The 16,079-nt window shown below is 38.8% G+C and overlaps 1 protein-coding gene across 4 annotated transcripts in view; it reads left to right on the forward strand.

Moving 5' to 3' along the window:
• Window positions 1-16,079, forward strand: part of RUNX2 (RUNX family transcription factor 2) — a 222,753-nt gene that overhangs the window by 152,405 nt on the left and 54,269 nt on the right. For all 4 annotated transcript variants that reach the window (NM_001024630.4, NM_001015051.4, NM_001369405.1 and 1 more), the window contains one exon: window positions 11,207-11,380. In NM_001024630.4, the coding sequence (NP_001019801.3) occupies window positions 11,207-11,380 (174 nt within the window). The remainder of the gene's footprint in view (window positions 1-11,206; window positions 11,381-16,079) is intronic.

Below are 16,079 nucleotides of genomic sequence, written 5' to 3' on the forward strand. Positions count from 1 at the left end.
TTCTTCTTCATTCCTTTAAAAAAAGTAATCAGGTTTTGCAGGCGTTAAGAAAACCACCTCTTCTTGCCAGCTGGACTAGGTCCAGTTTAAGCAAGAAATTCTCCGCCTCCTTTTTTCTGTCTTTTTCTTTTTTCTTCCTCTGTGATCTTCTCTGCCATTCAGCACAGCAAGACCAGGCTGTGGGAGTTGGCTGACTTTTTCTTTGGTTATTACTTTTTAACATTTTCTTCCTGTTACAGAAATGAGAAAATTGAGAATGATGTTCTGCTGCTGCAGCAGTGAATGTCAAGAGAGGAGCCCTTTGCCTTTTTAATTACATCTGTGTAGTGTTTCTTTTTGCTTAAAACACTCTGTCTCTCTGTTTCTCTGTCTCTGTCTCTGTCTCACTCTCTGTCTCACATAAAATATGCACAAAACCTTAATAATGAAAGAGAAATAGAAAGGATCGCATGCTAAGGAAATTGAGCCAGGATCCAGGAATTGCGTGACAGTCTGTTTGTAGGCTAGTTGTCACTGCACTCTTTGAAGAATAATGCCATCCATGTTTAGCTGGATTGGCAAATAAACAGTGATGCTTTTTGTTCAACTACGAAAACTGCTATTTCCATTGCTAAAAATGTTACCGCTAAAAAAATCTTTGCATCTCTCAGTGGGGTCTCTATAAGTGCTCGAAACACAAAGAACTGTGGTATGTGTGAACATGTTACAGAAAAAGAAGGCAAAGAAAATGTTTTTGGAACTAAAACACTCAAGTTTTACTAAGTTTTGGAAGTAAAGTGTAGACATAGAGAAAGAGTTTTTTTGTTCATTTCCCATAAAGTCAAGGGAGAGATAAAGATTCACATGGTCCAGGATGGTGTGAATGTTCAGTTGTAATTAGTAGGAGAACAAGTGATAAAACGGAGTCAGAGAGACTGGGCATAATGTAATAACATCTTTGAAGTAAGCTTCTGCACTTTTTCTTAATGTCTCCTTCTGGTCTCTTTGCTCCACGTTTTCTTCTTTCCCTCAGTGGCAGCCTGGTATAGGAAAAAGGAGGCTCAGGCAGTTTAGGGGACTGCCTCCCAGTGTCACTGCCTAGTTCCATGACTTTAAAGCTAGTCTCAGTATTTTTCTGGGCATTAATTATTTCTCTAAAATGAAGAACCCAGTCTGATGAAATCTATATTCTCTTACAACTCTGAAAAATCCTAATTCATATAATTTTACTTTGAATTGGAGTAAGGAGGGATGGAAGCATCCCTTGGAAACAACAGGCAGACAAATTTGAGTAGTAGGTCTGAAATGAGAAAATACCAGTAGAGTTGTAATAAAGAAGCATAGTAGGTTAGAGGTGTATTAGGACATGGGAGAGGAGCTACGGCGAAGTTAGCCGGATTCCCGGTTAGCTCTTTTTTTCCTGCCTGCAAAAAGTATTACTTCTCATCTTGTATATTTCCATGATGCTTTCATCCAATCTTTTTAAAAAATTTTTTAATCCTTTTTTGCTTCCTACCTCCTATGAAGTTTCTTTTTCTTCAGACGTCTCAAGTTTTTTTAGTCCATTATCTGAAGAAAAGGGATTATACTGTAAGCACGTGTTTATTATAATTTATTTCCTGAAGTTTGACTGATATTGGCGTAGCCTGATAACTGTCCTTTCTCCCAGACACTGTATGCTTTGATTGTTGTGATTCGCCACAGCCTAAAACCTAAAAGTTATAAAGGAACTTGCATTTATAGACATTCAAATTAACATTGTACAATTCTTTTATTTATTTATGAATTTATTCAAAGATCTCGAATTCTTCAATCCTTAGAAGCCTAAATTTTGAAAGGAGCAGGCCTTCACTTCTCTCTCACACACATCTAATTGTATTTAAATATGACTACATATGAGATTGAGATAGTGAACTTTATGTCACTGGTCTAAATGGGTGCCTTTTAGTATTAAAAGAAATCAAACTCAGCTTTTAACATTTTTTCTATGAAATGGAGTCCCTAGAATATTTCTATGGAGTCTATGGTTTAACCATGTAATTATGTCTCTTGAGTAGATTATATTTTTCTTCCCATAATTATGTTTCACCCAAGAGACTGGAAAGGCTTTAGACCTGTCTTGGGTGAAATTGTTCTTCCTCTCTTCTCTCTTGATAAACGCCGAATCTTACGTGCCTGACTCTGTTTAAGAGCTGAAAGGGGACTCTTGAAGATATGTGGTAGTGATTATGATTTTTTTCCTTTAGAAATTGGTTTATGTATTAAGAAGGGCCCTTAGAGAGAAGCTCTGTTAGCTCATTTTTGAAATGCCATCAGAGAAGAATCTTCTGGAAGCAGATTTGTTTATGATCTGTGGTCCTGTGTCTGAAGCCACACACTAACATTGTTCTAGGGCTGTCTCTACTCACGAGCTATCCTGTATCATATTGCATGGCTATTAATTTCCAGCGGCTCAAAGGGCTAGAGGCCTTAAACATGAAGACAGTTTCTTAGCCCATTTCATTATTCTAGTCCAGAAATAGTTTCTGACCTGAATCAGACAGTGCACTCTTAGGGAAAAAGATGACGCAGCAGCCTTTCCCAGCAAAGATTATAGACTCATCAATTTTACTGTGGGAAATGTTTCCCAATAACCAGCTTTTTTTTTTTCTGTCTTCTTTGTCTTTACTGGACAAAAGTACAGATAATTTTAAATTTATCCATGTTCTTATTTTTTAATTCAGCAATCATTTGTTGTGTGACTTCTCTGTACCTAGGCTCCAAGTTTGTGCTAGACATAAAATGTGACACCCATCCTTAAGGGGCTCTCAGTCAAGTCTAGGAAAATCTAAAATATTAGGGTTTGAAATTTTGTATAAATATTTTATGTCAATTCATAGTAAGTGAATGCTTACTGGATGCCTACTGCACATAAGCATAACCACATGTAGTAGACAAAACATAGTTGTCGCTGCTGTCAGCTTGCTGGGATATAAATCAGAGGGATCATCAAGGCTCTCGAGACAGGAAACACCAGAACAATGTGATGACCAAGTTGAGCTTGGAAGGGATTTTGCCAAACGGAGTTGATGCGGAGAGGGTGTTCCAAGTGGAGGGGACAGCTTGAGCAAAGGCACAGGGTGTATTTGGACTGTCGATAGACCAGTGTGAGTAGAGCACAAGCTGGGAGCAGTACAGTTGTAGCCATTGGAAATGAGAGTGACAACGCATATTGCGACCATATTTTCCAGGTCCTTATTTGCTGGGCTCAGGGGGCTCTATTTAATTCAATAGACAATGGAAGACAATTGAAAGGTTTTGAGCAGGTAAGTGACATGAATGTTAGGATTTGGGGGCAGAAAGAATTTCAGAAATTATGGAAACTAACTCTTCATTTTTTGGTAGACGAGGAAGCTAAGACCAACAGGGTTCCATTTTGGTGCCCTTCCAAATATGCCAGGCTGCTACTCTGTTGTATTAGCCACAGGCCAGAGGTTAGGAGGGTTCTAGTGGAGGCCCATTCCTGAAGAAACTGTAGAAATGGGCTGGAGTGGATGATGGGGGTCTAGGAAAGGAGGTGACAAAGATATGCCTAAGCTGGATTTTGAGTCTGAGAGACTAGAAAATGATGATGATGAAAATAAGGAAATCAGAAGAGAAGCTGGTTGGGATGGTTTGAGGAGGAAGGGAGGGGCAAAGGGCTTAATTAAACATTACAAGAGTATAGGTCTTTGATTCCTAGACATTCACAAACCACCAGTGAAATGTAGTCATCTGAACGTAAACAGAGGAGCAGACTTTCACTTTTCTCCGTAGTATCTTCATTTTTACATGTATGTAGGAATGCAGAAAATCAAAGTTTTTAAATTTAGAGCCTCAATAGTTATAATAAAGTATGTGGATGAGAACTTTGCGTGGCTTTCCTAAGAATGTACTTGAGTCTGGGTAATCTTCCTTGTGCTATTGCTTTTGCTGGAAACCATCGACTGAACTCCCTAAGATACAGTAAGGCTCATCCTTAGAAGTAGAAATGCAACAATTACATGTGGAATGCAATCGTGACTTTAAAATTAGTCAACCTGTTCCCTAACGCTTCCCTACAAACACACTCCTTCATGTAGCACTTTTAGGATAGATTAGAAGTGAAGGATCTCATTATTTTTTTCCAAAACTGCTGTGGAATAGCAGCTCTGTGGACATATAACCAATTTTCTCTGAGAAATAGTAATTCTGATGCAAGTCCTCTCCTCTCTTCCTTTTTACTCCAGGGATCATTGTCACAACATTCTGAAACTGTTACATCCTGTGGCTTGAGCCCTAGAGTATTGGACCAGACTTTATTCAATCACATACTTGGTGACAGCAAAATTAGCTCATGTCTCCCCAGTTACCCCTCTCTTCCAGTGAAGTCTGAATGCATGGTGGATGAGGCTCATGGACTGCCAAAGTATGGTTTTATTCATTAAGAGAGCTGTCTTTTTCCTTTCTTTTCTTTCTTTCTTTTTTTTTTTTTTTCTTTTTTGAGACGGAGTTTTGCACTTGTTGCCCAGTTTCTCACTTGTTGCAGTGGCTTGATCTCAGCTCACCGCAACCTCTGCCTCCTGTGTTCAAGCGATTCTCCTGCCTCAGCCTCCCGAGTAGCTGGGATTACAGGCATGTGCCATCACGCCTGGCTAATTTCATATTTTTAGTAGAAACGGGGTTTCTCAATGTTGGTCAGGCTGGTCTCGAACTCCCGACCTCAGGTGATCTGCTCGCCTCGGCCTCCCAAAGTGTTGGGATTACAGGTGTGAGCCACTGTGCCTGGCTGAGAGCTGTCTTTAAAGGGCAGATTCCCATAGGTACTGCATAGCTTAGAAGAATTAATGTATAGTAGTAAGACTAGAGTTATAAAGTGGTTTGAAGAATGGTGTGCGTCTGTTTAGATTGATATCACACACATATATAGATAAGCGTATATATATGTGTGCATGGATATGTATGTGTGTGTGTGTGTGTGTGTGTGTATATATATATATATATATACACATATTTAGCATCATCTTATCTCACAAGATATTTATTATCAGGTTTTCATCATTTTTCTTCCAGCTAACTTTCCTTGTTTCTTCTCTGCTTATCAAAATCCTAGTCAACCTTCAAGGACAGGCATCATGATTTTGTCAGTGAGGTTTCCTCTTTCCCCTTAGTCAAAATCAATTGCTCCCCTGCACTTCCTATAATACTTCAATACTTTTTAAATTTTTTATTATGAAAAATTTCAAACATAAAAATAAAGATTATATTGAATACAATACTATCTACCCATCACCTTTTATTTATTTTTTGGCATATTTCCTCACCTACTATTTTGCCCAAATATTGTAAAGCAAATACTGGTTGCCATGATATTTAACCCCTAACTATATGTTAGCCCTTCTGAATAAGAAGGACATTTTTCTACATAATCACAGAAAGTACCACTTCCTTAATATTTAAAAACAGTTCATATTCAGATTTTCTCAATTGATCCGCAATCATGGCATTTTAGTGATTGCCCTCACCACAGCCTCTCTTCAGTTATATTTAATTGCTTTCTTCCCCACTAGACTGTGAACTCCTTGAGGGCAAGGATATTATCTTATATATTTTTCTATCCTCTCCTCCTCACAATACCTAGTGAGGCTTGCATGTAGTAGATAACCAGTACACATTAGCTGCACTAACTGACCCAAATATGGACATGGTACTGCTTCCTTATTGATGCTCTATTACAGATCTTCTTTTAAACTTTATTTTATTTAAAAATTATGTTTTCATGATACTTAGGATACAGGTAAATACCTAGGGAATTTTTAAAATCAAGTTAAAATACTACTCCAAAAAGATGAGCTGCCAAACATCATGCCCTAGTGATCAGCAAAATGATTCTGCTGTGCCATATTAGGGTAGACTGGGCATCACATGGCACACTCTTCATGAAAAGTGCCTTGTTTTTTGTAAGTGCATTTTGACATTCTTCAGGGTGCGCTGACTGGTGCAGTGCATCAGGTTGTGGATATAATACAGAGAATGTAAGTTTCTGGCTGGGGAGCCACGTAGCTCTCCGAAGTTGTTAAATGTTTCTCAATCAACTTTCATAAAAATGGGCAAAATGGGTCACATCACACAGAGTCAAGTTTACTTTCATAGTTCACAGACCACATTTTCAGAGTCTTCGTGTGCCAGTTTCAGATGTGTGATTTTTGAAAGCAGAAGTTATAATGGTAGTATTACTAACTTTCATTGTGGGTAGGGCACAATGGGGTGATTCGCTAGACTATGGCTTAGGGACTTAACTGTTTCTCATTTGTCTTTGCTCTAAGGATGTGTGAATGCTGTGACCTTTTGATTATGCTTTCTTCTTGTGCCCCTGAATTTATTGCAACAAAAGTCATATTCAGCTAAACACACTCAACTTTTTGAAAGAAATCTTTTCTGGAAACCACTTTTTTGTTTTTAATTTTAAATTGATTTTTGATCATGATTTCCCCTGAATGACTGCTGCTGAACTATTATGAGCTGAAATAAGCTGGTTGGCAATGGGAGAGAAAACAGCCCCAGGCCAGCAATCAGGAAAACTGAGTCTGGTCCTGCCACTAACTATATGACTTTAGGTAAGGCATGTCCCCTCTCAGGGACTCAGGGTCCTCATCCATAAAAGAAGCATGTTACTCTAAACTTTAGAGTCTAAATGATTTCTATTGCCCTTTCATCTCTCTGATTCCCAGTGACTTTCAACAATGCTTAAGAATTACAGTGAAAGTGAATAGGGTTTTCCAGAAAGAAAGCAAATTTTTACTTAAATGAATGTCCTTCAGTAAAATTTTGTAGGAAGCACCAGTAAGGGCTTATCTCTAGAGAAAGGTTTTGCCCACTAGATTCACTAGATTGTCAAACAAGAAGAACTTTTTTGGGGAAAGAATATGATATATATAATATGATGTCCTGGACCAGAAAATTTTCTTTCACTCAAGGAATTTATCTAAAAGAGGAGAATATTCATTCATTCACTTATTGCATAAATATTTACTGAGCACCCACTCTGTAGCAGGCACTGAACTAGGTTGTGAGATTATAGCTGTAAACAAGACAGAGGGCTCATTCTCATGAGACTTACAGTCTTACAGGAGAGACAAAAATAAATACACAAGATAATTATAGATTGTGGTGACTGCCATAAAGAAAATAAAGAGAGGGTGTGTTCAAGAGGGTGGGAACCTATTTTGGTTATGGGAGGCAGACAAGGCCTCTCATAGGAGGTGGTGTTCATTCTGAGGTCTAAGGGGTAAGAAAGAGTGGGCCCTACAAGGAATCAGGGGAGAGCACTTCAGGAATATGGAAAGCTCTTGAGATGGGAAACTGAAAAGGAGACAGATTTTCAGCTGCCCAGAGAGAAATGCTAGAGTCTTAGGCCAAGGTTATATCAGTAGAAATGGAGAGAACTGAATCGATTTGAGATATAGCATTCAGAAAGAAATGGCAGGACTCGGTAATGGATTGAATGTGGAGAGTGAGAGATAAGGAGAAATCAAGGAAAATGTCTAGGCTTTTGGCTTAGGAAACTGAGTGGCTAGTGTCATTTACTGAGATGGGGGACTATTAGAGAGAAATAGGATTTTTTTGGAGGGGAGAATAAAAAATTCTGTTTTGAATATACTGCATTTAAGATGCCTTTGGGACATCCCAGGGTAGATGTCAAGTAGGCAGTAGAACACACAAACCTGGAACTCAAGACAGAGGTCAGGGCTCAACCAGAAAAGGGGGAGTCATTGCTATAAATAGGTAGTATTTAGTGCATGAGACTGAGATCACCTTGGGCAGTGGTTCTCAATCCTGGCTGCAGATTGGATCATGTGGTGAAATCTTGAATAAAAGAGACCTTTTCCCCAGGTCCCACTATCAGAAATTCTGATTTAATTGATCTGATATGGGGCCTGGACATCCATGTTTCAAAGCTCCCTAGGGAATTTTCTTATTCAGCAATGATGGAAGGATTCAGGGAGAAGTTCAGCTAGAGAAGGGATCCAGGACTGAGCATTTTTACATAGAGTCTCAAGTATAATACAGGAATTTTCCATTCTTCATACCCTCCTCCTGTTTGGAACATCTACTCGTTGGCCCGTTGGATGAGGTTTAGTCCTCACTGCACTATGACAGAGTACCCTATCCTTGACTTAGTCAGTGTGTCCTTGGTCTTCCATGTTCTTAATTTCTGAAGGAATTGCTTGGGTGCTGGGGATTTAAGTACACCTTCTTTCAGCCCATCATTCGAGTGTTACCCTGATGTGGTTTAGTGGTAACAGGTATTTGTCATAGTTGAAATGTGAAGAACTTGTTTGGCTTTTGCTCTTCAATGTACTTTGTTCTTCAATGTACTTCATACATTATGAAGAGTGCATTTTGTTGTGGTTGCAGTGGTGTCTGTGAAGGGGCAGATATCTACAAAGAAAAATGCGTATGTTTTTGTATGTGTGCATCTGCAGATAAATGTTTCCTGAATTATTCTAGGGTGCCTGTAGATACTTGGAAGTGTTCTTTGAAGATAATTTCCAAAAGATCATGAAGGGTTTTAAAATTTCACCTGCTTTAAAATTTTTCACACTTACCAGTCCTAGCCTAAGTCCTTTATTTTTGCCTGCAAACTCTTATTACTCCTGAAAACGCTGGGCTAAGAGAAAGTAAAAATGTACTCACACATGTACAGTCTGAGCTCACATCTCATACAGCCTCTAGGAAAACCTAATGAAAAGGCTATAGAAAGCAGAGGCAAAGCTTATTAAATTTTCTTGTGACCCATGGCCCACGTAAAGTCCTAGTGTATAAAGGAACCATGCAAGATCATGTAGCCCTCCCCTCAGCCCTCAGGGAACCTGCCATTCCAAAAATATGGCCTATTAAGAAAAATAACTTCCAGGGACAATTCCGTAAGCTTTCTTGTTAATGTTTACAGCTGTATCAACACCACACCAATACTATGTGTGTGCATGTGTGTGTCTGTGTGTGAGTGTGAGGAACAGACTCCATGGATCTGTGACAAGTACTATATAATTCCCTAATTGTGAAACTAGTTAGACCCAGCAAGATGTATTGATGGAAGTTTGGTGAGTTAGGCTACAGCCATTTGTTTAGGGTAATGGGTGAATTATTAACTTTGTAATTGAATCCTTGTTGCTACTTCTGCTTATGTTGAAAGCCAGCCTTGGCACCTCACTGGGCTTAGTTCTTAGGTGTTTCACTCTATATGATCTGGATATTTTCAGTCCTCCATAGCAGCTGGAAGAGGAAGGGAAGAGAAAGCTAGAATACCAGCACTGATGGTGCCACGTGATGAATGGAAAGCTCAGTCAACTTGGACGAGGGCTATATCCTCGTGAAGGCTCAGCTAGTCGGCAGCCGAGGACCATAAGCTAGTTGTTCTACCTCTGCAGGCCTCAGTCACTTCATAGGTGAACACCTTACTTGCCAGGGTCTAGGAGTTGTTTTGGGTCATCTCTAAAAGTCCTCTAGGGATCTAAAATCTATTTGTAATCTGGATACAAAACAGTAATGGTGGGGAAAACAACCATTAACAATGAATTTCTCTAATTTTTCCTGTTCATTTTTCTCCTAGGTCTAGTCCTTCTGTTATAGCAGATGCCCAAAAACTTGCACTGGCAGGAAATAGGGTGGTGGGTGCATTTCAGTTAATGGGCCTAGTTGGAACACGTTTGGCCGTGGAGACAGCTACACTCATATTACCAAGCCTTGGCTTCCTATCTGTTTTCTTTGGGCTGGGAAGGCAATGAAAAAGGAGACAGGAAAATACATTTTGGGGCAAATAAAATAAGGAATTTGTCTTACGAAGACAGCTTATAGTTGGGAAATTCTAATGTTCAATTTAACCCTATCCTGATACATTCCTCTTGTTCTGTATTAAGTGGAAGCTAAGGCGTTTGCGCTACCCATAGAGTAGTGAAAAACTCCCAGGCTTGAAGGCTTTTCATAAACCTTCTTCAAGGTTTCTTTCTTTTATGGATAATATTCTAATTCCCTTAGTTTCTCTTCAAGGGGCAAACTCTTAATCCCATCATCATCTTGGTGGTTCTTCCTCGAATCAGCTTCAGTTACTTAATAGTCATACTAAAATGTTAGGGCAGCACCCTAGGGCCTCACTGGCACAGAATCTGGAGGAAGGAATCCCCAGTCCATTTCTGTTTCTCTATTAGCATTGCATTTGTCCCCAATAGCACCACCCTATAGATTTACTCTACTGTGGTACACCCAGATTCAGATGCTTTTCTGTTATACTTGCACCAAGACACTAGTATGTCTTTTGTTAAGAATGATTTGATGATTTTTAAGAAGTCTTAGTATCTTGGTTTGTTTTAATTTGTGCATTTCTCTAATACCCAGAATTTCTTTAGCTTTTAGACTTGAATAAACTAGAAGAGAGATAGAAAGGCTCCCCCCCTCCGCCAAATAATGGATTGTCACAGTCACATGTTTACTTAAAGAGTGTATTTCAGCTTCTTTTCCAAAACCACAGTAGTGGATTTAAAATAAAAAAGCATTCTCTCTGATTTAACAGAGTTTATTATACACATTCCAGCTTTGGCATATCACAAAATATCCAGATTCCTCTTGAGAATTTGAGTTTCCCTGCTTACATTTCTGTTTTTTTATTTCTTAAAGGGGTTTAGGTTTGAGTTTTAATTTTCCAGAAAAGAGTCTTAGTAAAGAGTAGTTGTAACGTTAAAGAAAAGTCACTATGGTCATCGTGGAAATTTCCCTTTGACAAATGTGTTTGTCCGTGTCTCTGCTCCAGCTTTGTGACATTGTGGCTAACATGCACGGACTCTCTGAACTTTCAGAGGGGATTTCCTCCATCATGAAACAAGCAAACACCCCCAATACACATCTCTCCTGTTTGTTTTTTTTTTTTTTTTTTTTTTTACTGAGAGGGCCAGAGAAGGTGTCTAGTATCCTGCCTCTCTATTGATGCTTGACTTCAAGTTGTCCTCTGAGACCTCAGCTCTCCATTTATAAAACAGAGCTAGGAATGCTGGCCACCAGATACCGCTTATAAAGCAATTTGAAATGGAAGGCATTATGTAGACAAGTCATTATAAATATTAATATTGATAATTCCTTGGCTTAAACTCCCAGTTTGTATGTTCACATATCTATTTAGCATGGTCAATTGTTCAGCTAATTAATATGCTTTTATTTTATGATTTGCTATTTCCAGGGCACAGACAGAAGCTTGATGACTCTAAACCTAGTTTGTTCTCTGACCGCCTCAGTGATTTAGGGCGCATTCCTCATCCCAGTATGAGAGTAGGTGTCCCGCCTCAGAACCCACGGCCCTCCCTGAACTCTGCACCAAGTCCTTTTAATCCACAAGGACAGAGTCAGATTACAGGTAAGACAGACTCATAGGTTTCACTTGCATAGACGCTGGCAGGCTGGGGGTGAGGGGCTACCAGAGGAGATGTGTTCACTTCAAAACTCCTGGAGCTGTGAAGCGGCTTATTATTAAAGAATCAAGACTTGAAGACACTGATTTCTTCTTTTTTATTAAAAAAAATAACATTCAATAACTTGGGGATAACATTTTGGGGGATATTTCTACTAATGCTCTACTCTGCAGCAATCTCAGTCTACACCCTGGTGGAACGGTAATAATGCACTTTGGGAGAATGTTTATTATACGTTTCTATATTGTATCCAGGTGGTGCAGGGGATAACATCACACCCTTACTATTAGAAAATTAGTGTTACCCTCTCAGATTTGGGCTTACATTTCTTACATGTATAACTATTTCATTAAGTCTGCTTGAAAATTGCCCAGGGCGAACAGGAAGCCTTGATTGGTAGTTATAAGGCAAGGTCAATGTGTGGCTCATCGGGCACACAGAATTCACTTCTGATTTACATTTAGCTCTGGTTCTCCATTAGACATTTCTCTTTATAAATTCTAGTCAGCTACTTACTTTACCTTTCTTCTGAGAAATTAACATCGGCATTACATTACAGACTAATCATTCACATTTGGTGCATTAAGACCCCCAACTCTTTTCTTTTTGTCCCACTTGTGCAAAAACAGATTTATTTAAAGACTCGTTTGAATGCTTTTAGGTCATGATGACAAGAGAGTGTATTAATTATTATAAATCTTTAATTTGCAGATAAAAGTATTGAGAGCTGAAAGGAAGTTTACATGTCATCTAATTGCTATCATTGGTAGAGGTGGACTAGAATAGAGGGAAAGTAAGTCAAAACAAAATGTGTAATAAGCCCTCAACATGGATCTTTTTTATGGTTAGATTTTTGTTTATAGTAGTTAGGCTCGAATGTTCTTAATGGTCTCAAAACATAATTGTTTATAAGCAGAATGACCTATCTCTTCTTCTCTCCTGCCCATATTATGTAAATGTATTCTTGGATAGTTACTTAGAGTAGGTTTCAGTTTCTGTGAGTGTATATATTTTAGTCGGAATGTATGAGTTTGCATGAGTGTATATTTTAAAAAATAATATAGAATTATAAAAATCAAACATCTAAACACTAAAGATAACCAGATATCTGCATTAAGGAAGAACATTATTGCTCTTTGAAGAATGGCCATGTTTTAGACTATATAAAACTTTAATCATTCATATGTGGGGTTGAAAGGTCAATGTGTTCACTAGACATATGTCCTTGATAAAAATACAAGAGTAAAATTCACACTAACTTGTGAATTTGAAGCTTGTAGCTATGGGTGCTGCTGCATTTAAAGTAGTGGACTTAGAGACTACAAAAGATGGGAGAGTGGGGGGGCGGTGGTGAGGGTTGAAAAATGACCCTTGAGTACAATGATTGCTGTTTGGGTTATGGGTGCACTAAAAGCCCAGACTTCACCTCTATGCACTATATGCATATAAGAAATCCATACTTATACCCCCTAAATATATGTAAAAAAAAAAGTAGTAGACTTTAGATTATTCATTAAGGCATAAAATAGCTTTCCTTTTGTCTTTATAGTAATCCTTAGACTGTGTGTGTGTGTGTGTGTGTGTGTGTTTGTAGAAGCAAATGTATATATATACACACATATATATGTGTTTATATATGATTTGTAATGGATTTATGATGACTAATAAAATATATATAAATATATGTTCCATGATTTGGCAACCACTGGCTTTTTAAATGTTTGATTTCTGTATTCTGATCATTATTTGTTTGCTATTTATGCTGTTAATGACTAATGCTTTAGAAATGGCCTTTGGAGACTGCGTGTTGCCAGATTCACTTAAGAAGATGCTTCTCTCAAGGCTTTGTCCTTAAATCTAAAGATGAGATCATAAAGTAGATCCAGAGGACATTTTAGAACCTAAAGGTACCTTAGATATTGTGAAACCAATGGCTGGAAAAATTGTGAAGAGGATCTGTGTTTTAGTAGCATCCCCGCCTAGCAGATACACGTGCAGAGAGTGAGGCTCAGAGGAGGTGTGGGGCTCACCTGTGCCACAAATGCATCTGAGCAGATCGAGAGTGTGGCCACCTCCACAGGCCTGGCCCTCCTCCAGTTGTCAGCTTCTCTTCACCCTCTTCCCTGTTAGGGGGCTCAGGAAGTTAAGCTTCTTGTCTGCAGTTGCACAGCAAGTTACTGGCAGGGCAGGGAACACATTCACTGGATATATTTCTGAAAATGAAAATATAAAACAAGTTAATTTCTAGGTACTGATAGCTTCTTGGAATTTTTATGAGTATTAGTGCTCTTCATTTTGGGATTATAGTAGTAATAGAATTGATTTATAGACTAGTGTTCTTTTTTTTTCAACATCCACTAGGTATTGGACCCAACAACTTTTCTCAAACTTTCCAAATTTCCAGATGTCCACATACATACTTGTCACCCCAACCACTCTTGGCCATGTGAGCTTTCTTTAAATGTTCCCATATTGTGAGTGAGAGAATGCCTGTATCTGTCCATAACCAAGGAGATGCAGTGTTCTACTGTGACCCAATTTTTAAAGGAAAGCCCAGGAACATCTGGAGCAGCAGCAATGCGAAAATGAATTGAATAGGTTCAATTTTTTAATCTCTGGATTGACTTCTTTGTTTATTCAATAAGTATGATTTGGGGCCTATCACATGTAGCAAACTGGGTGTTAGGTAATATGGAGAGAGAAGAAAAGCGCTGTTCTTAGTTGTAGTTGAAGAGATAGTTATCCTCCCCAGCCCTGGCATACCACATCCTGTGCCCCAACTGTAATACCATTCCTGAGTACACGTGCTTCTCTCTGTACCCCTTTACTCAGCCAGCCCATCTACAGTAGTCTCTGTCTGCTGACAAGATTCCACCCATCCTCCAAGGCCACTGTGTTATCTTCTTCAGGAAAAAGTTCTGGAACCTTCATCCAAAGGCAGTTCATCCACCCTCTAAGCTTTAGTTAAGATTGCCTTCTTTTAAGGATACTGTGTATTCATCTTTTCTACCCTGCTACATTGTACATTCTTTGAGGGATTTATTACAGGGATTTATTTTCTTTTGTGACTAGCCCAGTGGCAGTGTCTCATTAAATATGAATTATTGAAAGTTCAGGTGAGAAGCAATCGGTGCAATAAGGGTTGAGAGGATATCATATCTGTCTTAGTAGCATTAACTCTTCTTTCTAATTTCCTGTCCCAGGATGTCATTGTTCCCTAGTGATGGGCAGCAGCTTAAATCACATTTCAATAAAACATTTACTTAGTTAAACTGTTCGGTTTTATTCAAGTTTAGGGTCAATGTAATTGCATGACTAAATTTAAATTCTTGCCTGTAATGGATTTTGTAACTTCTTTGCAATATGCCATATCTGCATTTTAGTTCATGTAATCCTTTGGACAAGACGTTTGTAACAGGAAGGGCCCAGTTTCCTCTCTGCAATTGGCTTGCTACTCTTGATATCTCAAGCTTTTACCCCAAAACTGTAGATAATGATCATGGTTATATAGTCCCCTCTAGTTCTCCCACTTGCCAACATAAAAGGCAGAAGACGTCTTTAAACTCCCAGAAGAGTGAAGTGAAATTAGCAATCATAAATTGAGGAAGTCATAAGCATTTAGTGTTTCATAGTTAGCCTTTTCCAGTGTCTCTTGCAGTTCCTAGGACCAAAACTTCTAGCCATGTGGTAGCTAGAACCTAATTAAAGTGGTTTCCACATAACTTCAGTCTGATTCTGTATTCCCTCCCTGGTATCTTTGCAGTGCTTGTCTGATGGTGATATTTTGTGGAAGTCTTTAATGGCTGATGTTCAGCTGAAGGCCCAGGGCCTCCCCACAGCTTCCTGGGGAAGTTGCTTCCTCTAGACCTCTTATCATTCAGACATCTGCTGCTTGTCTCTAGGTGCCAGGAAACACCTAGTCTGTCACAAATGTTCACTTCTTTTGATTCAGAAAGCGGCGATAGCAATAGAGTAAGGATATGATGTTGGGAGATATCGCTTAAGATATCTTTAAACTCATTATCCTCTAGATGGGTCCGCTACACCTAAAAAATAATGCTGATTCAGGCCCTTGGGTTTGGTGGATTGGGACATTCATCTCGCTTTTAGGGTGGGGGATGTACTGCTATTCTGTTTTTCACTCATTCAAAAAATACTTAATGAGTGCGTATTATCTGCTAGGCATTGATGCAAGTGAGTGAGAGAGACACAGCTTCTGCTCACAAGGAGCTTATATTTTAGTGTCAGACACAGTCAATAAATAGGTAAATAAGCATACATATAAGATAATGTCTGATAATAATGAATGCTATGAGAAAATGAAATAGGATAATTGCTAGGTAACAACTCGGAGAGGGAAGGAGCTAATTTTGATTGGAAAGTTGAGAAAAGGTCCTTTGAAAAGCTTTGAAGATCTGTGAGGAATGACATTTCAGGCAGTAGGAAACTCATGCAAAGCCTAGATTATGGGGAGTCTTGGGGGCCACAATAGTGGCTTGGGTTTAGTTCTGATTGTAGTGGGCTACCAGTGTAGTGGGGGATGTGAAGCAAGGGAATGACATTATGTCATTTACATGCATAATAAAACCTGTTTGGATGCTGTTTGAGGGGACCATAAGGGGCTAAACAAAGAAGCAGAATTAT

This window comes from Homo sapiens, chromosome 6 (genome assembly GCF_000001405.40).
Source record: "Homo sapiens chromosome 6, GRCh38.p14 Primary Assembly".
Lineage (NCBI taxonomy): Eukaryota > Metazoa > Chordata > Mammalia > Primates > Hominidae > Homo > Homo sapiens.